This window comes from Homo sapiens, chromosome 6 (assembly GCF_000001405.40).
Source record: "Homo sapiens chromosome 6, GRCh38.p14 Primary Assembly".
NCBI lineage: Eukaryota > Metazoa > Chordata > Mammalia > Primates > Hominidae > Homo > Homo sapiens.
The window spans coordinates 2112819-2135592 of record NC_000006.12 but is presented as its reverse complement, the minus strand read 5'-3'; the positions used below and the strand labels follow the sequence as shown (position 1 = coordinate 2135592).

Sequence of the window (22774 nt, the reverse complement as noted above, 5' to 3'; positions counted from 1 at the left end):
TAGATGTGTTGTTTCCTTGTCCTCTCGCTAGATTATAGAAACTCAAATGTAGGAAATGCATCTTATTCTTATTTTCATTTACTCTGTCATGTTGCATAGTACATCAGATATTAATAGATGGTTATTAGCTGATTGATTGCTCCATGATCTGCTTTTAACAATGAAAATTCAGACCTCACTGTTTTTAAACCTCAGGATAAAGGTATCCCTTTAAATGAGCTCAGGCAAGCATGCACACACTCACTCACGGATACACAAATACACACAGTAGCACGTTGTTTAGTATACTTAAAGGGGGGATTAGTTTAAGCAATGGCTTTTGATAGTGGATTATTGCAAGGATAATTGAAGATACTTAAATTTGAAATATTATTTTGTGCTAAACTGTATATGGGTTTTTATATAAATTTATTAATTTCTTTAAAAAACTGCTGTGGCATCTTATTTTGGTTGAAACGTTTTTATTTTGATTGAGGGAGAGGTATTGTGGACATAACACTGTAATTAGAATTAAACAAATTGGTTTCATATTCTGCCAAGTTCTCTAACTAGCTCTATGACCTTGAACAAGGGATTTATGCTTTCTTCAATTTTCTGATCCGGAAAAATGAGGATAATATCAGCTACCTCACCAGGATGTTGTGAGATATAAATGGGAAAAAACATCTAAAGAGTACTTAGCAACTATAAGAAATTACAGGAATGTAAGATATTATTTTGATAGAAACAATAATAAATACTTTGCTGTATAGTGTAAGGTTGAAGAATGTATGTTATAGTATAAGGCAAACTATGTCTATAGAAAGTTGATAGCTTAACTATATGACTCAAATAGTTGACTTAACTATATGACTTAACTATATGACTCAAATCTACTGTCAAATAGCCAAGATATATCATAAATATTAGGAGAGAATAGCTGGGAAACAGAAGTAGTTGTTAGACATTTAAGTATTTTAAGATTAGACCAAAAAGTGCATGTGGTCAGGCTAGACTGAATCAGAGACACCTACCTGCTTTTCAGCTTCTACACTGAAGGTAAGACTCACTTCGGCCTTAGCATAAGGGCCTGGCTAGATTGGCAATTTAAAGTTTGGTGCTATTGAGACCAAGATGTGGGTGGTGGTGTCCAATCCCTATTAGGCGAGGAAGTTATTTTTCCACCTAGAGAACTCCACTACCCTTACAAAGCTCTGGTCTTTTTCAGTGGAATCTTGAAAATGTTTTCTATCAGTACCACTGAGTAGAGATTTTAAAAAGTATATGGTTGAATAAGAGCTAAGCCCCCGCTGCTGTTGGCAAAAGAAAGCAAAGCAACAAAATAAAGAACAACCTAAAAGCATTAGTCCTATAGAGGTTCAAACTGCAGTCTCAGTATCTCGCCAACTGTTCATTTTATCCCCTTTATTTCTGTGGTGGAGCTGAGCTATCTAGAATCACACCATGATTGTGCAGTCTACAAGGCAGTGACACTGGAAGACAGCTGCACAAGCATGAAGGAGGCACAGACTTTGGGACTTTTAATATGTGATTCCTCCACGCCCACCACAAGTTATTTTGGATACCTTCTTTGGGTGGCAGAACCGAAATACACAATATAGCACAACCTAACAAATACAGAGATTTAGTAGCCCACAGAATGGAGTTTTGCCAGGTGTGCCTATCCCCAGTCACCACACCCCGGTGAAATCAACATTCTTTGTGCTAACTTGGAGCTCTCCTTGCCTCCGGTGACTTAAAGTTGTTTTTACAAAATTTGATATATCCTTGGGCACTGAATATGAGTTAGCTTTATTAGTTTAATGATCTGCACCTTTCTGGGTAAATGCTTACAGATTTCTACATTTACGCTCCTGATATATGCTTGAATTTTGTCTATTTTTCAGTAATTTTAAGTAACAAAATCACAGTTCTTAACTTGTATGTTTCTTCAGTGATTTACAATGTTTCCTGTCTGTCTGGAACTCTATAGTGGCAGAGCAGATCTGAAATGCATCAGAGAGTTGACAAGTGACATTTCTATCATGACCTGCACATATTTTAAGAACGGTCTTAACTGGATTAATTATATCCTTGAAAGAAATTGGGTTAAAAAGACAAGAATATTTTTAAATAGTTAACTCTGTGCTTAACCAACAGCAGTATTTCAGTAGCAGACTGTTAAATTAATGTACAGTGAAATAGGGAAAGATATAGTCATCAGTATTTATGTATCCTTTTGTTATTCTTATGACCTTTTTAAAGCCATAAACAAAAGGACATTTGTTTTGCCTTCCTGCCTTAGCCAGGACACAAATTATAAAAAGAAATGCACAAGGAAACATTAATAAATCAAGTAAATACTAAAATTTCATAATTCTTCTCTTTTTACTGCAGTTTTTTTCCTTCCAAATTTAAAGTTTTTCATTAAGCATGGCCTTGCACACTGGACAAAGTGCAGCTCTGTTTTAGAGTACCTGCAAAACATCATTTCCTCTATAAATCACTCGAGTGATTAGAACTGCAAAGCATGGACTTTGCAAAGAAACAGCCTTTAATTGTATGGCCTGTCACTTTGAGAGATAGTGAGAAAGGGAGGAGAGAGGAACTCTAATTTTATTTTTCATCAGTTTTAATTTTTTAATATGTGTAGCTATTTACTGCAAAGAAGTTATTATTTCAGTGTGAAGTTCACTGTTAATTTATTATTAACTTCCCTACACACCTGTACAAATCTTTATTAATGTATTTGGAACCCTGGTTCTAAAAACTTTCAGCTAGTATATTGTAAACTTGAAAGGAGTTACTCACATCAGCACTGAACTGTCCGGTTAGGCAGATCTTTAAAAGGATCTGATAGGGATATTCTTCTTGTATTTCCTGTGTATTTTCCCAATCCTGATTTCATGCTCGTGTGGTGATTTATTTTTCCAGGGCACTGTGCCATCCAGTATAGAAGAGGTCAGTGTGGTAGTATTTCATAGCTTTTCTTTCATCCACAAAGCCTTGCCACCTTCTGTCCATGACTCATGCATCTACTGGTGTTCTCTGATAGCAAGAACATTTTGATTAGCTGTACAGGTTACCTGGTTATTATTCTCATGCTGTCCACATGTGGGTGGATGTGTGTGAAATCTGGAGGTCCTAGCCAATGTTGAAACATAATCCTATCTAGACCAGGAAATGCCTGGCTTCCCAGATACTTCTCAGAGCAATAGGGCAGGGACTAAATTTCTTATTTCCTTCCTGTCCTCCTCCATCCCATAACACCTATGGTCCAAATGGGTGTTTGATAGTCATTATTAATACATTCTATAGAAGCCATATTTTATGTGAAAATATCTCTAGGCCCATCATTTTCCATTCTAATAGGATCCATTATAGAGGGATCGATCCTATTAGTGAAGCAAATTGCCATATAAATAATGTATTACAAGTAGACATAGTTTAAATCCTTGTTCTACCTACTAACTATTAGACCCTGAGCTATTACCTCTCAATTCACCTCAGATTCCTCATCTGTAAAATCGAGATGAAAACAGTACCAATGACATGGGGTTATTATGAAGAGTTAAAAAGATACTGAATGCAGAGCACTTAGTGCATACTGGGCATATACCAAGTGCTGTACAAGTGCTCACTATCCTTCTTAGTACTGCTGTCATCATTTGTAGTGATAGTAGGCCATATGAAGATTTTTTTTTCTCTGATGGATGAAAACTTCAGTATGAGTGGCAAGAATGGGATGGAGGGAGGGAGAGGAAAATAGAGGTTCAAATAAAAGGAGCTTACGTTAAGAAAAAAAAAAAAAAGGAAAACCAGTGAGATACTGTATGCCTTGGGCATGCTTGTATTCACGTAGTGATGAGCAGGTGGACTCACCCTTGCTGTATCTATATATTATGTACCACCTAGCACACACGTAGGCTGTTAATAGATGCCTTTGGATTTACAGATGTTCTTTAACTTACAGTGGGGGTCTGTCCCTATAAATCCTTCGTATGTTGAAAATATCAAAAGTACATTTTTGATTTACAGTATCTTCAATGTATTATGGGTTTATCTTGGACTCCATTGTAAGTTGAGGAGTGTACTGAATGTGTACCGTTTTCATACCATCATAGAGTTGAAGAATTGTAGGTGGATCCATCGTAAGTTGGGGACTGGTTGTCCCTTTGAGGCTTCTCCAGCATTTCTGGGACTGTATTTATTGGAGTATCTGTGTGTGTGTGTGCTGTTTTTCTCCTAATCATTTAATTAAAAATTAATCTTTCTATACCTTACCAACAGTTGCTTCCTTTGTACCTGCTTGTTTTAAACCCTTTAGTCTCATTTTTCTTATAGAGTTTGCCTAAATTATAGAAAATTATTTTAGTATGTTGAAAGTAGTATTATTACACATGTTGGGTTGTGCAAAGATGTGAATTCCTGAGTTCACATTGTATTTGCGTTCTTCCTTGCTCTAATATTATACTAAGGGTTTACAATAATCATTTGCAATATAAAAGAGACTGAAGATTTGCTAGCCTGCTTCAAAATATCAGTTTTTGAGTGGCTTTTATTGGAGGTGAAAATTAGTCAATTTTGTACATGTTCTTGATACTTCCAAGAACAAACCAATTGGTAAAACACAGCCTACTAGAAAAATAGGTAAAGTGTATATATAATTCCCTGAAAAAAAAATTAAGGCCACAAACACCAAAAACTCTGTAGTGTTACTACCAGTCAAAAAATGAAAAAACACGTCTGTACCATTTTTTAAAAACCTATCACATTGGGGAAAGTATTTTTTTTTAAATTAATCTTTTAGGGCATTTCTTCCCTGTTTGATATTTTTTATATGTAAATCTTTTTTTTCTTATCAAACTAATCATGGACATAACATAACATTGCAATGTACTGAAACTGAGTGTGTTTTGGGGGAGAGAATTCTGTGCCATGGTAGACCAATATCAAGGATGATTGAAAGCCTCTGGCCTCTTTCTGAAATGCTGATACTTGGTTAGCCTTACACTCATCACCCAATACTAGAAGGTATTGTGTCTGGCCACAGAGCGGCTCTCTTTTCTTGATAGGTTTGAGGTGTATGTGCAACCACTGAGCACCTGTTTGCGAGGCTATTGCCCTTGAAAGGAGGGAAGGGGTGGCTATGTAAAGAGTATCTTAGCTGCTGGACATAAACGATTCTTCATTATTCAGAGGTTATTGATCATGTTGCTGGATTGCAGTGCTTCTCTGTATCAGGAGGTAAATCAAAGGAAGGGAAAGTTGGTTCTTTGGTGACAGCAGCTTTTATGGGGAAATATTTTTCACCTTTGAAGACTATAGGAGATGGGAGTTATTTCTGTGTTTTAAATATTGATGGTATCCTCATTTCCTTTCTACTAATTAGTTAATTATTGCTCTATTGATAATTATTGGCTCTATTTTTGTTCTTCACTTTGGTAATTCCATTTGTCTGTTTTACCGGGTTCTCAATTGTAGTCATTAGTCCAGCCTCTTCATTTTAGATATTTCCCCGGTATTTTTTAGTGCAAAATTCTGAGGTCTGGGAGTCCAGAGACCTGGTTTTCATTTTTATTTTTTGGTTGCAGGTTCTGCTACTTCCTAACTGTGACTGTACAATAAACATTTACCTGCTTTGAATCTCCATTTCCTGATCTGTAAAATGAGAGGGTTGGATTAATTAATCCCCATGGTCTTTTGAATTTTGTGAGTCTGACAGAGATTTTGTCCAATGATTTGTGTTACAAACATGACCTAGGTATAAACACCTTTCTATTATATTCTGTCTCCGTATTCTTCACAGCAGTGGTTAAATCATTGGAAGTTTTCATTCTCATTCAAAACAGCATCATTTGTTAATCATTGAAGTGTTTGTGTTTTGCTTATTGGAGGCACAGATTACCTTGATATTGTAATTCCGATTAGCTGGGAAGATGCCTTAGGAGTAATTAGACAACATGGAGTTAAAGAACATAAAAAGGCAGTGCAAACGAGTGCTTTCTCTTCTTGCAGAAGGGGTTATTCTATTTCCTGATGCCTGAGATGATCTAAACAAAGAGATTCGTTTTATTAGTGGTGTGGTTTCTTTAGCCCAGTACCATGACCGTATCCTGTTCAAAGAAGCCGCCACAGGGTGCTTAAGTAGAAACATACAGTATGATTTAGCATGCAGTTCAGAGGGGCCAGGTTCTCACATTGCATGTAAGAAAGTTCCCTTTTCGTTTGTCTGTCTGGGCTACTTATTCATCTGTATTGGAAGAGAGGAGAAAAATGCTAGTCTTCCTGTGTTGCGGGAGGATGGCTTGCCCTCGTACATAGGTGTTGGGATGGGGTGTGTGTGGGGGATGTGTGGATGTGAGATCAGTCTTTTTTTTAGCCATCTGTGGTCATTGAGAAACACAGAAACTTTCTGTGTTTCTTTCAGCTTTTCATAGTTGTGGAATTTTAGGTAGTTGTCATACTGTAGTCAAAACATGATTCTGTGAATTTCTGGAATTGGTCTTTAATTTTTACATAACTCTGTCTGGAACATTTCTGAGTACTTCATGAAAAGTGAGGGTCCATCCCCTCGGAAGAACAGGATAGGCGTCAGGAACACTGAAACCTGGCCCCATGGGACCCTGGTGCCCTGCCCTTTGGCCCCAAAGCTGGACCTACAACCACCAGCAATCTAAATCCACCTCCAAACAACACTGAACAACTGCATGGGCAGTGCCAGTCCCCCAAAAACCCAGACCGGGAAAATCTCAGGTGCTGTATCCTTTCTCCCTCCTCTGAGCTCTGGAGTGTTCTAAAATTACATGACTTCTCTGCATTTGGGTCACTTGATTAGAACTGGAAGCACTGTTTCATCCATAAAATACCCTGTAATGGAAAATGACTACATCAACTTGGTTTGAAAATGTATCTTTTATGGTCTCTTATTATTTTGTTGGGTTTTGACATGTTTTGGTGCCAGGTAGAGGAGTGGGAGGAAGGAGATTATTTTCTACTTCAAAACAGTGGGTGGCTAGGATTCTAGTCCTGGCTTTGTCTGTAACTAGTGTGATATTAGAAAAGTTGGCTAACCCCCCTGTGCCTCAGTTACCCGAGATGCCAAATATCTGCCCACCTTCCTAGCTTAGTTCTTGCGAGAGTAGGATGGGTGGCTCACACCTATAATCCCAGCACTTTGAGAGGCTGAGGCAGGTGGATCACCTGAGGTCAGGGGTTTGAGAACAGCCTGGCCAACATGGTGAAACCTGTCTCTACTAAAAATACAAAAAATTAGCTGGGTGTGGTGGTGGGCACCTGTAATCTGAGTTACTCAGGAGGCTCAGGCAGGAGAATCACTGGAACCTGTGAGATGGAGGTTGCAGTGAGCCGAGATTGCACTATCGCACTCCAGCCTGGGCAACAAGAGTGAAATTCTGTCTCAAAAAAAAAAAAAAAGGAAAATATTTCTGTGTCTTGAAAATGTTAAAGCCATGGTGATTGCTCAAAATAGTATGGCATTTAATATAAAATAGATACCCTTAATAGCCCACGTGTAAAATTAAACTTAAAAGGGTCATATTGGGACATTATCTTTACAACTAAAGAGTTTTCTGTAACAAGGATTGAACCTAGGCAGGACTTTATACCAGAATAATTGTGTTCATACTGAATGAGTTACAGATTTAGTCTGTTTGTTCCTTGTTTCAGAGGAGTCAAGCGTCAGAACTTAATGGTGGTTGTAGGTTCTCATTTGCTGTGACATTTCAGTCATTAGTCTGATTGGAGCATTCTTTATCAGCTCTGTGCTTCAAGAGGAGGCGGAAACCACCATCCTGTTGGCTTGGCGGACGTCTGCCTGCTCAGATACCACGTCTCTCCTGGAGTCCCCCAGGGGCCTGGGGAAAGGACGAGGGGGCGGCCAGCTGGGCCCCCTGGGCTGGGGACCAGGAGCCCTCGCTCGGCTCGTTTCCCACTCATTGTGCGGCCCAGGCCCTATCACTCGAGAGGCCTGGCAAGGAAGTGAGGAGGAAGCCGGTGCCACTACTGGTTCAGAATGTTCCAGTGTGGTTGGAAAGTCTGAGAAGCAGCCTGGGTGAGAAGAACAAGACCTTATTGACAGGGTTCAGTCCTGGTCAGGTCTGTTTCACATCAGCTCTCTAAATAATCACAGCTCTTGCCACCTCAGGGATCTCTAGCACGTTTACCTCTGGCTTTTTTTTTTTTAAACATTTAATGTAGCTATGGTAGAACACAAAGCATTCAAACTTTTTATTCCAAGAGAATGATTAGAAGTATAGTGTTGCCTGCTTCAAAACAATAATAGCAAAACAAAGTCCAAACTTCATACTTTACAGGGCTTTCCAACCTACTGCCAAATTATTAGTCTTATTGCAAATATTTTTCTATTAAGCTGTTTTCTCATTGATTGATTTATAGGGATATTGATTATCCTATAATAACATTTTCAGTGGTTGTGTAGCCCGACTTGGCTTGTCATGGTCTGAATTGGTCAGTGTCATTATCTAACTTAGATAATGGTCAGTGTCATTATCTGACATATATTTTAGATATGTAAAAACGGTAAGAATTGTAAGAATGGGATTAAAAAAGAATATGCCAAACATTTTCTCTTCTGCACATGAATCTATAAACTAGAATATTTACCTCAAGAAGTCAGAAGAAAATCTGCTGGAGATTTTAGCCCTGGCATGGTGGCTAACGCCTGAATCTCAGCCTTTGGGAGGCCCAGGCAGGCAGATCACGTGAGGTCTAGAGTTCCAGATCAGCCTGGCCAACATGGTGAAAACCCGTCTCTACTAAAAATATGAATATTAGCTAGGGGTGGTGGCACGCACCTGTAATCCCAGCTATTTGGGAGGCTGAGGCACGAGAATCGCTTGAACCCGGAGGCAGAGGTTGCAGTGAGCCACGATAACAGCACTGCACTCCGGCCTGGGTGAAAGAGCGAGACTCCATCTTAAAAAAGAAGAAGAAGAAGAAAATCTGCTCTAGGTTTTAATGAACCACAGAATGTGTCCCTTGTATGCTTTGCCTTGTCATTCTGCCTGAATTTATGCATGACTTCTGCATTAATGTAGTAAACACACACTTGGCAGTCCTTTCATTTTCAGGACCCATAGGGTGTTTCCAATTCCAGCTTTTGGTCAAGTAATAAGAAAAAGGTTTTTTGTTTTTTTTTCCCCCTGGAATATCTGGTAGGAGCTTTTGAAGCTCTAAGGGATATTTAAAGCCTGTTCAAATTGAAGAAACCGAAGAAAACCCAAACGTCCCCAACCACTTCTGAGGACACGAATTTCCAGTGGTTGGAGCTTCCCATTTTTATCTTTTCGTCTGAATGAGATGGATGGGGACCCTCTAGTTGGGCAGAAAGCAGAGGAGCAGTTATGGGATCGACTGCAAAATGTCTAACCAATTTATTTTCTGAGAGAGGCTGGTGACTTTTTATAGCACCTACAGAATGGTGATTTTTGAACTTTTGACCTATTAAATAGTTTAATTATATGTCTCTCATACTTTCCCTCTAAAAGTGGCACATGAAATATTTTAGGTCAAATGAAGACCCCTACCCAGAAATTTTAAAAATAATTATTAAGAACCAGTTGAGAATCTCTGTATTTTGTCAGACACCTTCATTTTAAGGCAGGAATTAGCTATATGATTTAAGATTAATACAAAGGAAATACGATTTTATAAAAAAAGAGAATATCTTCTTTTTTTAAAAGTTCATTTGTATGTGTGCATAATAATACAAATCTGATCCCCATCCCTGCTCCCTGCCACCTTAAAACCTTTTCAAGCCTTCAGTGATTTTCCAGAACCTTTAGGGTTAGCAGCCAGCTGTGGCCATTGCCTGGAAAGGCCAGCCCTCCAAAGGTACTCACCTTCCTCCACATCCCCCTGGCCTTCTTTATTCTACCATGGAGTCTTTTCCTCTCCACACTAGCCCTTCTATATCCCCAACCCACCTAGTTCCCATCTTATCCCCTTCCCCAGTGATTTTTTTTTTCTTTCCCTCTGGAGACAATGTCTCCCTCTGCCACCCAGGCTGGAGTGCAGTTTTGCAATCATGGCTTACTCCAGCCTCGAACTCCCAGGTTCAAGTGATCCTCCCACCTCAGCTTCCCAAGTAGCTGGTACCATAGGCACGAGCCACCAAGACTGGCTAATTTTTAAAGATGTTTTGGGCTGGGCATGGTGGCTCACACCTGTAATACAACAGTTTGGGAGGCCACGGTGGGAAGATCACTTGTGTCCAGGAGTTTGACACCAGCCTGGGCAACATAGTGAGACCCCATCTCCACCAATTTTTTGTTTTGTTTTGTTTTGTTTTGTTTTAACAGTGCTAAGGTCTCACTGTGTTGCTCAGGCTATTCTCCAACTCTTGGATGCAAGTAATCCTCCTGCCTTGACCTCCCAAAGTACCAGGATTATAGGTGTGAGCAACTGTGCCTGACCCCCAGTGATCTTGTTTAATGACCCCCCAGAATTACTAAGATTTCTGCTTTATGTTGCTATGACACCAAGGCATTCTGCCCCCATATTCTGCATGTTTCACACAACTGGTAAGTGGCAAAACCTAAACCCAAATCCATCTGATTCTGGAACTTCATGCTGTCTGTTGATGCATATCACTTTCCTGGATTTCATTTTCATCCTCTGTCTTCTGTGGAGCTCAAATGAATACTGTTTGTGAAAATGCTTTGTGTATAGTGGAACACCATGTGGTATTTATTGACATTATTGGTGTTATTTTTATTTTAGGTTGCCATTGTCCTTAAGTTAGGTAGCCTTTTAAATGCTTTTCTCAAAACTCTTCATCTAGACCACCTTTCTATACCACTATGAGACTGACGTTTTGCAATTTTTTCTTTCTCCCCAGGATGGTTCCTACCTGGCTGAGTTCCTGCTGGAGAAAGGCTATGAGGTGGGTGACTCAATGGGAAGCGGGCGCAGGCTGGTGGGGTTGCTCGCATGCAGCGGCCACATGCTTCCTCTGCTGCCGTCCTCCTGAGTGTGTTTTCCACTGAAACGCAGATAACAAATCAGAATCCGGGGAAGAATGTGTCTTTGGGCTTGTGAGCCTGCCAACCCATTGTGCTGTTTATCTGCTGGTGAGCACTGGTGGCTCCCCTGCACTCACAGTGTTCAGCTGTGGTGCACACTTCCCACATTCTCCGATAACGCAGCAGCCTGTGCAAGCGAAGCTGTAACATGATTCGGGTTAATTTATGATGTAATGTGTTTCATAAGAAAGTCCTACTCACCATGAAGTCACTTAATTCAGAAATTACAGAGAACAATAAAAACCAAGCTGATTGTTGGCAAACTTGAATGAAAAATTTATACCTGGAGGTTTTCCTTTCTAATAGGCAACCATATATTTTATGGAGCTGAAACTTTTAGGTTTGCTGCTTTTGTCGTTGTCTTCACCATTTCTCCTTTCCTTAAAAGAAACAATAGTTTTATATATTAATTTTGATGTGCTAAGTATGTACAACTTAATTTTTTAAAGAACGTTTTTCAGATATATACATGTATATAAATTCATGCTATACAGAAAAAAAAAAAAACCTTTACAGTGGCCCGTATGCTCTGATCTGTTTTATGAATGTTTACATTAATACTTTAGGATTATCTGTTTATTCTAATTGTTGGTACGTTGTTTTAAAAATGTGTAATTGGGGCAAATGGAAACACAACAGGAAAGAATTTGGCATCTAAATGCCAACATTATTTGAAGAAAAAAAGTTAATTTTCTTTTAACTCATAATCTGAGAGCCTTGACTTTTAGACTTGAAGAAGTAACAGTAGATATGTTTAGCACCTTCTGTACCCTTATCCAAGAGCTAATGCTACATTTTGTAATTATATGAAAATAAATGGAATTATGAAAGTACATATGTATACGTATGTCCATATGCATAAGCTGCTGTAATAATCGAGAAAGAAATGCATATTCTACGGAGCAGAGAGTTTTAGAGTAGGTTATGTATAGTACAAAGTGTTGGTTTTAGAGAAAGACCTATATTTATTCAGGCTAGATTAACCTAACGCCTTAATATCTGTTAAAAGGAATAGCTTGGCAGAGAGATGCCCATACTGTGTTTCAGATATTTGGGATGAGCTGAGAGATGTTTGGTGGCTAGAGAGGAATTAGTGATGTTGTTGTGTATCGAGTGAACCTAGAAAATGAGCTAGCTGAGCAGAAATCGCTGCACTTGTGAAGAGTGAGGTGGCGTGTCAGGCATGTCAGAAGTGATGCTCAAAACCACGCAAGTGTTGCGATCCACTCTTAGGGGGACAAGGTGGGCTGAGACTGGAGGTGAGGGTGGTGTTAACAGGCAGCATCTGTGTCTAGTCCAGAGGAGGAGGGAGCACGGCTATGCGCTGCAGTGATGGTGGACCCAGTGACAGTGACAGGGCGAGTTTGGATGTGTAGATGGCAACCATTCTCAAGCACCTGGTACTGTTAGTGTTACTGGAAAAGGCAGAGAAGCAGATCTCCATTTAGGTGTCCCTTGTTAAGGAACTAGCAGACTTCAGAAGACAAGAAGGATGAGAGATTTGCAAATCGATGCAACAAGAACCTAGGACTGCCAGATAAGCTGCAGATGTTTTTGTGGTATTTGAAATTGTAAGAGCAGATTTTATTATGACACAAAAAGACAATAGAAGGCCCACTTGGCAAATCATAGTTAATGGGAGGAATTTATCATTGAAACAATGTTTGAGAGAGAAAACAGGTTTAGGAGAGAGATCCGTGAACTGATAGAAGGAAACATGGTTGACACTATAGCGGGAAAGTACACAGCCACAAAGCATAATCAGAAATTAGTTCTCTTCCTAGTCCAGGGGAAATGTGAGCTCTCTGCATATTGTGGGACTGTAAGTGTGTTTATCCTTACTGTATTCAACTTTAATAGGCTGCTGTCCTCAATTTTAAGAGATTCGTATAATTCGAGAATAAACCATTAGGAGGAATCTGATGGTGGCACAGGCCTTATGTTTTTATGCTTAGGTCAAAGTAAATGTTAGAGTAATTTTTCAAATTGGCTGCATTGGAAAATTTCCCAAATTATCAGCTGCAGTCCCTGATTATTGAAGGCCATGAGTAAAAGAATAGGATTAGTAGATTGCATGAAGTAGGATGAGAGAGGGACGTATTTTATTACGTGTGAACTCGGGGTGGGGGGCAGTGGTGGTGGTCAACATCAGCAATTTTGGATGCTTACAGACTTCAGACTCTCAGCCTTTAGTGTGCATCAGAATCACTCAGGCCCTGTTAAGACACAGAAGGCTGGTTCAGGGATCTGGGAATTGTTCTTTCTAACACGACCCCAGTCAGTGTGACATTGCTTGCCTGGGTACTACAGATAGAGAAACCACCACAACTAAAGGTTTAGATGAGATCAGGTGATTGATTGAATCATATGATGAAGTTGAACACGGTACCCTAAGACATTTTAAATCCGTGAGGCCTTGCTTCTCTGGGTTGCCATATTATTTTGAATCTAGCCTTTGTATGAGGTATACTACTAAGGTCAGGAACAGCTGGAAACAACCTACTTAGGGATAGCAGAGGACAAACCAGGAACAGATAAACACTGTGAAGAAGAGCTTGATGCTGAGGCTGAGTTGTTCTTTCTAGAAAAGAAAGGCACACTGGTTGGTTAGCAGTGGTAAGGCCAGCTGTGCATTTTGAAACTGGGAAGCATGGGCAGTGTGGAGAGGCCACAGTCACCTGGAGGGGAGCATGCAGGAGAGCAGGGCCAGGTTGGTGGGGTAGTGATGGTGGGTGGTGTAGGCAAAAACAAACCCTGTGTATGGAATTCATGTAGCACAGTTAGACGCACTCCTTTACTTTTTCTCCCATCAGAAAAGCAAAATGAAAGTATAAATAACTTAGCTAGCCTTAAAGCAAAAATAGGCATTTGCAGATGACTTGAAAAGCAATAGCGTGTACTAACAGATTGATTAGTTGTGGTTAATCACTTTGTGTCACCTCACGCACATTTAGACTCCTGAAGCCGTGGGGCCTTGCCATCAAATGTGGCCACTGAAATCCACACATCTGATCATGCTCTGAATGAACCGTTTGAAATGAAAAAGTGAAGGGTTACTTCTCACTGAGAAGTGACTCAATTTAAAAGTTTAAAGGGACAGTTTTTAATGTTGTTTGTTTCTTGAATTTTGCTCAGGATTAAATGTTAAGGAGAGCATGAGGAGAATGGATGTAACACTCTTTCATTCTTTATTACCTACAGGGGTCATCTCATAATGAGGAAACCTAAGAATTCTTGGGTTTTATGGACAATCGCTCTTTGATTATGCTATACACTTAATTCTACACATTGCTGAAGTGCAGAGGATCATTCTCCTTTATCCCTGTTGACCAGTACAGAGCCAGAGGGGTGGACAAAGTGGTTAGCTCGCTGTGGCAAAGGAGCCTCAGGCTGGGCACTGGACACCTGTGTCTCACTCTTCCTCTGCCACTTTCAGGCTCCGTGACCCTGGGCAAGTCACTCAACCCCTCTGAGACTTAGTTGCCTTTTCTGTAAATGGGGATGATAAGCACACCTATCTCCCAAGGTGGTTGTGAAGGTTAGATAAGACAGTATATGGAAAATACTTAGCCCAATGGAGCTCTGTGGGACTCATGGGCTTATTGATCTGGAGGTGGCAGAGTGACATGGGGTCTAATGTGGACAAGCCAGTGGACACAGATCTTTAATAGGCTCTTTAGTTGGATTCATTAATGAGTATTCCTGAGTAGCAGGCATGTTCTGTTGCCTAGGAAGCTGGAGCTGTTTGCATTTCTTCCTGTCATAAGGGAAAACGGAGGATTGACAGAAATGAAGCTTTTTATGAAAGCGCATTCTAGTTCTAAGTGTGTTTCCAGCACCACTGTTAGCAGATAAACCAACACACTTTTGTACCCATTTTGCACTAAGTACAGAGGAAAACCAGAGAAGTAAAGACAATGTTGAACCCTTTAAAAGCTAAAATCTGGGACTATATGAAAATATATTAAATAACTTGGTAACAGCTACAACACAATGTATCAGAATTTAAAATAAAGAATAGGTAAATTGTGACATGAAGTATCAGCATAGAAAAGAAATGGATATAAGGTTAGTCCCATTGTTATCTCTGGGAGATTTTTTGTTAGAACATGGAGATACTTTCTTTCTTAATCTGTGAGAATCCTTGAACTGGTTTTCTTCTGGGTTGTTATCCCAGAAGCCTTTATACTTTGATTAAAAAAAAGGCTAAGCTTTTATGGATTTCATGTTGAAACTATACTGAGTGTTGGCAGGGCTGACCAAGTCTATGTCCTTTAACGTTGCCACTTACTAGCTGTGTTATCTCAGGCAACATCCTCATTCATGGAATGGGACCAGTAATATTATAGTAAGGGTGTTGTGATGATTAAGTGATTTGATACATACAGAGAACGGTGTCCAGTACATGATCATTGCTGTGTAAGTGTTAGCTATTGATATTACTTAAATAATCTATACTTTTCAAAAGGTGAGTGACATTAACCATCCCTGGGAGTCGTCCTTGCCTCCAAGAGAAATCTAGACACTAAGAATTTGAAATTCAGTGATAATAATTTTCCATTTTCTTGATCATAATTAATAAATAATAAAGCATTTCTGTTATGTTACCTGATCTGACTGTGGATTTTGAAGTTAAATCAACTTTGTTTTAAATGGAAAGAACTTGAAATTTTCCATTTTATCACCTTGTTAAGTGGGACATGAAATTTGTCAAAAAACTCATTTTCATTTATTGTAAGACCTCAGTGTTTCAGAATTATATTTTGTTTTTGAACTACTATAACTTTGTAATGATTTTGATTAAGTTTATATAAAGCCAAATTCAGCTCTTTTATCTTTTCAGTTTGGTTCCTAACACCTCATATCTTTTTCTCCCAAAATCCTTATAAAAACAAACAAAAAGCTCTACCTACATCCCTTCTGTAAAGAGAAAGCCGCTAATCTCAAATTCTTAACTAGATTGTGCAGTTTGCACACATTTTGGCTTGTCTTGAAGTTTGTATTTCACCTGTCTCAGAAGCAGACAGACCCAGCTTTCATTAGTTCTTAGAATAATACCTGCTGTCATGGATTAAGCATTTGGCAGGTCTTTCTTTCCCTGTGTACACATACCAAATGTTGGGAGTTAGAGGAAATTAAAACACTTGATTTAAAAAAAAAGCAACCAGTGCTTAATGCTTTTGATTTTTAATGTGACAGTAAAGTCTTGGTTATGATTGGCTTGACTTTGTATAGTTGTCTGCATTTTAGATGGAATGCATCAAAATCATTTAATATTTTTGTCAAAGCTTTTTATGTTTATATGTAATGAATATATATTAATAAATGGCATGTCTCTATATTTTGGGCTGTTGGAATATGTGACTTCCCCAGAATCCAGCAATCTAGAGAAGATAGCCGAAATAACACTATTGTTATTCTTTTCATTGTCAAACTTAAATTACTCTTTTTAGTATATAGACTTTTTTTATTTAATAAAACAGAGAATTTACATCTGAGAAATCTATTTCATAAGTAACTTTGATAGTAAACACAAGTTTTGCTATGTATAAGTATATATGTGAAATATATACTTTTTGTTAAAATTAAGTTTATAGAGCAGTTCAACTTTACAATTAAGTAGCAACCTGAAAAATTGGAGATCATGAAGTAGAACAGATAAGCTTAAAATTAGTGTTTTCTCCACGTTTAAATTAAGAAGTGGATATGTATAGCCAAATCTCAATTTAATGCTTCCTAGGGTTGAATGTTTGCCTCCTAAAATGTGAAACCAAGTTTGCGAAGTTCCTTTCCTAAAATATTTTCGTGTTTACCAACTTTTCTTGGGTTTCGTTCTTTTGGAAAATAATGTTGATGAGTGCTTTTCTTCCAAAGCAACTAACCAACAGAAATATTAACTGTGGGTGTGTTGTATCCTTCGCAGAAGTCAATTTCTCATGTATGCCATTTAAAATGATGACATTTCTTTCTGTTTGAAAGAAAGTCTTATATTCTTATAATTTACCTCCGTATTTGGAATATTTGAGTCATACCAAGGATTAATTTTGGTTTGAAATAGAAATGATTGAGTTAAAATATAGAAGTATATTCAGCTGCAAATGAACTTTTCAGCATAAGAAGGAACACTTCTAAAATAAGTCAAGGATTAAAACTGCCACCAGTAGAACTGGAACTTGGGCAGCTGGTGACAAGCTGGTGTTAGCATTGGCAGCACAAAGGGAGCAATCTGACATGAGAAGGAAGTGGGACCAGGTCTGGAACAATTTCTCCTGTGTGTCAGACACAAATAGTCTTTTCTTCAATATCAGGCAAGTATGCATTACATTCCTGTTTTATCAACTGTCCCCCCACCCCCCACCTATGGTTAAGTCAAGATAAAACAATTTTAAGAATCCTCTCTTCGTTTGAGTTTTCTTTAGGTCTTAAATCGAGTAGTACATAAGTGCTGTCTCTTACCCATGCTCTTTAGCTTTCCGACTTTTCTACTTAGCTGCATAGTAACATCTGCTCTCTGATGATGTCTGTGGCTCCAGAAATACATACAGTAGATGCAAAGTGCAAGCTCTGAGGCCACTGAGAAGCTGTGATGGCCTGGTGCTCTGTGGTGAGCAGGCCACAAAGGCTGTTTTACCGACACGGCCTCGAATGGTCTGTCTTCAGTTTCAAATGGAAAAGATATTTTTGTCAGCAGTTAGGCTGTAAGTGTGTGTGTTTGGAAAAGGAGACATTTGAGTATCTACAACTAAGCATGAAGTCACATAATTACCTGATTACGTTTGTTGAGATTGGCAGTAAAATCGCTGGGGAAAGACAGAGGTAGGATGTTCGTAGCTGGTGGACAGTGGTTGGGGAGAAAGTAAGCAGTGGGACTATTTCTAATAATTTAAAATAATGCTTACAAATCATTTTTTTCATAAAGCTAAACATTAGCTAAAGAAGTTGTTTATTAGTCCTCATTGCACATTTATCTTTCCACACTGTAAAAACTCAGGTCCATGGAATTGTACGGCGGTCCAGTTCATTTAATACGGGTCGAATTGAGCATCTGTATAAGAATCCCCAGGCTCACATTGAAGGAAGTAAGTCATTTTCTTTTTCTAGAATCTCTTTCTATAAGGTGTTTTCAGATGTTCCTATGTTCAGATAAGGTGTTTTCAAATGTCATTTTTGTCAAAGCCCAACAAGTCACAATTACTTACCCATGAATTACTGCACTGAATACGATTTACATGCCTTGAAAACCTTCCCTGCTCACTGCCCTAGGCCGTAGTGTCATGATGGTTTGGCTGTTAGAAGGCTATGAAGTAGATGGCTTGGAGAGACCAAGAAAGGGCATGCCTTTGATCACCGCTCTGCAGGTGTCCTTATCCCCTCAAGTAAGAGCAGTTCCACACTGGCAGTGCACCGACCCGCTTTTTATATTCAGTCCAATTTAATCAATTTAAACAATCTTTGTACATTTAATTATTTTTAAAAATAATTTGTGAAGATAGGCCCAAATAAATGGCAATCAAAACTGTTCTAAATGACTGATCATTGTCAGCATTTGCAGTTGTTTTGCTGCTTTTATTAATTTGTCTGTATGCAGCTGTACAGTTTATATAGCACAAGCAGACTGTTTTCTTGTTTGAGCTTATGGTAACTCCTGAGGTGGATAGGGAGACCCAGAGAGCACATTATAGTTGAGGAAATGGAGACAGAGAGGTTATGAGTTTTCTGAGGTTGCGCACTGTGAAGAAGGCAGAGCTGTCACCAGGACACAGGGATTTTAACTCCAAGTTCAGCCTGCATTATGTGGCCAGTTTTTCCAGCCAGCAAGGACGATACAGTCAGCTTGTAAACCATATGTGGTTTTGTATTCACCCCTGACCCCTGCATATTTGAAGGTTTGGGCTACTTGTATAGGTAGTGACAGCATCAGGAAGATGATGCAGTTGTCCACAGTAAAAGGCTTTCCACTTTAAGTCATGAAGTGTGTTGTCTTTGAAAATCATTATTGTTTTTGTGCAAAGTTCAGAACAGTCCTGCCACTGGATGTAGATATAGATCAATATTATGTAAAAATGATGAAAAGATCAAGTTAGTACATCACCCATCCACATGTATCAAATTCTTATGCTAATGAAGTCAGTGTAAGGATCTGTTTAGATTTAGGAGTTGTCCTTCAATCAATTATGTCACCACATCGGGCATTCAGTCAGGGCCTAAGGTTGATGTTTATAAAGTACTTGAAAATTACTAGATAAAAGTATCTAAAGAAAAGAGAGCTGTCTTCATCATCATCAGTGTTATGGATTGCTTTAGATGGTATACATGTTATTACAAGGTTTTCTTTTTCTGAATCTCATTCTTGCAGAACACATCTTACAACCACCTGGAGCCCTAAGATATGTTATTGTATAACATGTTCGTGATACTGTGCTTTAAAAAACATTTTTCTGAGTTTACCACCAAAATCTTTTACAGACATAGGCATTATGTAGCTATCTTTCTATTATTTAGGTAAAGGTGACAGTTATATTCTGCTACTCCAGAACCATCAGTACAGCATTTCCATTTTGACCCTGGTTTTCAGACTTTCCAAATATGCATTTCAATTTTGATGTTTTTAAAAATTGAGCTTATGTTGCTTTTCTCTATCTAATGGGATGTTTTTGTATCCTGAAGACATGAAGTTGCACTATGGCGATCTCACTGACAGTACCTGCCTTGTGAAGATCATTAATGAAGTAAAGCCCACAGAGATCTACAACCTTGGAGCCCAGAGCCACGTCAAAGTAAGCATTTTCATTGGGATTTCTCTGGCCGTGTTTCTGTGGCGTTCTGTATTTTACTTGTGTCTGCTGCTTCTCAGTGTAGTAATATAATCACTGGTCTTAGTCTTCAAGTTGAATTGTCAGTGTTAGTTTAAGTATTAATCCTAATTGAAGTACTCATAGATTTTTTAAAAGTCTCTTGTCTGTTATTAAACAATATAATAAAACCTTACCACTAATATTGGAATAGCAGTATTTGTTTATTTTGGGTTGTTCCCTGTAGCCATGAGGCCCATGGATGTGTTTTCTGCCATTTCAAATAACAGATTGTGAATTAAATGTTTTGTTAAAATGTTGGAAGATGTAACTAAGTAAAACCTTTATGTTAATATCAATTTTTGGTAGCGGCTAAATTACTGGCTGAGAGAATATTTTTGAGTCCCAATAATATGTTAAAATTAGCTGAATTAACTTTTTAATTGTGAATGGTAAAAATCATTGGAAGAAAGCTTTTTAGTCTCCCTCCTCCTCAGTGTGATATAGCCAGTGTGGATTTTCCCCTCTATTCGCATTCTGGAAGGAATCACGGTAAACATCACAGGCCCATCCTTAGGGTTCTAGTGGTCTGCTTAATTCAAGTTTTTGTTGCCGTGTCCTCCTGCTCACATGAATAAGTGAAATCTGAAGCCATGAATGATAGGAGTTCTATTTAGATACTTGTTCAGACAGGATGGTTAGTGGACCTGAGAAATAAAAGCAAGTAACTCTTAAGTTATAAAAGCCCCTCAAAAGTCCAGAAAATGTATGAGGTTTTTTTTTGTTTGTTTGTTTGTTTGTTTGTTTTGCTATTTAATGAACAAGTACAGGAGTCTTATTTCAGAAAGTTTTTCTTAGGTGATTGGCTATTTTTCTGTATCCCCATGTTTGCATAGAATGGAAGCTAAATGCCTATTCTATATACCTCTGCTTGTTTAAGGAAGAAATCATGAACTAGATAAAATGAAACCAAGTGGAGAACATGGTGAGAGAAACATAGCAATAAACTCAATCTTATAACTGATTGCCAGTCTTCATTATATGTATTTCTTTCAAATGTTAACCTTGAAGGATGGCTACATATCGATGAATGATGATACCTCATATCTGCCTGTGCTGTCTATGAAGAAACATTTTTCTTTTCTTAATCTGTGATGATTCTGTTCTATATCCAGACTTTCACCAAAGTCTGTGAAAGGTATCAGGGTCTTTAGGTTACAGCTTAGCTATTTTTCTAAATGATTCTCCATGTGTTTTTTCATTTTGGAAAGTCTCTTATGCATACTGTGTGCTTGAGAAATTACATCCCTTCTTTCCTATAGAGAAGCGGTGACTTTTTATCATTCCAGGAATGAAGACTTTATTTTTCCCTAATTGAGGTAGTCAGTCTATCTTCCACATTATAAGTCATCTGGCTGCTTCTTGACCTTCCTGACCAGCCATGAGAGTATCTTCCAGACAAAACAGAATGTTTTGGAATGAACATTCTGTTATTCAGTTTCCTTTAGATTAAGAAGTTTCCTTTGTAATCATAGATAGTTTATCACCTCTAGGAGCTGAAAATTGTAATGAAAGATGCAGAAAATTTTTATAAAGGTTTATTTATAGAAGACCTTCCCCTTGTCATTTAGTATTAAATGGGCTGATTCTTTCCTTTCCCCAAAACATATTTATAGTTCAGAAATATGTTATAGTTGGTTTTCTTAGTTGTAGTGATCATGATAGTGTTTTGTTATCGTTCTGGTGTGGTTGTACTGTAAGTAATAGAAATCATAGGCTATTGAGTTGGTTCCCTCTACATTGCTACACATGTGAAGTTTATCTTTTTTTATGGTATTTTGGCTGCTTTTCTTAATGGTTAGTTAATGGGCGGAAATGGCACTCTTCAGTGAGAATTTTGGTTTGTAAGGTCATTTAATCTTCCAACAAATATTTGTTGAGTGCATACCTCATGCAAGGTGTCATGCATGGTACAGTACGAAAAGCTGTGTCAGATACACCTCTGCTGTGGGGGTTTCAACTCTAGGAGGGGTGATTGGCACAAGTGTCTGACTCTTTAGAGGAGGGTAAGAGAGAACTTCCGTCTGGGGGTAGATGGATAGTGCGAGGCGGAACCGACACTGGCTCTGGTGTTGAGGTATAGAGAGGACAGTTACAGAGTTACAGACGTAGCGGGAAACTAATAGTTGAAACGGGGGTAATAATATGAGGCAAAGAGAAGTGGGAAAACTTGGTACATGTTTGCAGCATCATGAGCATTCGAGATGAGCTGAGCAGAACCAGTATGAGGAGAAGTGTGAGGTAAGGTCAGGTAGGAAGCTGGGCTGTGCCTGGGCAGCTACCCATGTTTTGAACGGGGGAAGATATATTCAGTGATGACTTCTAGAGGTAAGAGTCTAGAGGTAGGGCTTAAGAAGAGCTAGGAAGTTGCTGGATGAGGATGGTGTCACTAGAAATGGGGGTGGGAGTGAGGAATGAAACAGGATGCCAGGTGGGGCTGATTTCTCTATGCACTGATGTGGTCACTAGAGAAGAGGGAAACCCAGGGCTCCAGTGCCCAGGGGACCAGAAGGTCAATAGAACCAGTACTAGAAACCGACATTCAAGGAGGAACTTTTGGAGTGGGGTTGGAGAAATAAGTTCCCTTTTGGAAACATTTTACTGGCGTTACTTGAAGGACATTCAAGGGAAGCAGGCTATAAGGTAGCTTCAAATATGCTGTGAGTTTTGAGAGAGATCTAGGGTACAGAGCTGTATATTCAGCTCTTGAGGTCTTAAAGATGCCAAGTAGTAACTGGAGAAAGACGGGTAGAGGACTGAAGATTGAATCTTGGAAACAGGTTGATAGTGAGAGGGTGGGATGAGGACAAGTAGGGCTGATGACTGAAGTGGAGGAGGCAGAGGGTGGGATTGTGCCATGGCAGTCAAGAAATTGGG

At 38.9% G+C, this 22774-nt stretch overlaps 1 protein-coding gene across 11 annotated transcripts in view, besides 1 other annotated feature; it reads left to right on the top strand.

Annotated features, from left to right (window-relative positions):
- The window catches only part of GMDS (GDP-mannose 4,6-dehydratase), a 621800-nt gene that overhangs the window by 110013 nt on the left and 489013 nt on the right, over positions 1–22774 (top strand). For all 11 annotated transcript variants that reach the window (XR_007059239.1, NM_001500.4, XM_011514500.2 and 8 more), the window contains exons 2-4: positions 10862–10906; positions 18037–18124; positions 19713–19822. Coding sequence is in view for 10 of the 11 variants with exons in the window: in NM_001500.4 (NP_001491.1) it covers positions 10862–10906; positions 18037–18124; positions 19713–19822 (243 nt within the window). In the remaining variant the exon portion in view is untranslated. The remainder of the gene's footprint in view (positions 1–10861; positions 10907–18036; positions 18125–19712; positions 19823–22774) is intronic.
- Positions 18071–18621: an enhancer, noted in NCBI's record as "NANOG hESC enhancer chr6:2117206-2117756 (GRCh37/hg19 assembly coordinates)". NCBI's record gives its function as "activates a minimal SCP1, AML or CMV promoter by ChIP-STARR-seq in naive H9 embryonic stem cells {active_cell/tissue: H9 hESC(naive)}" and the evidence as "EXISTENCE:reporter gene assay evidence [ECO:0000049][PMID:30033119]".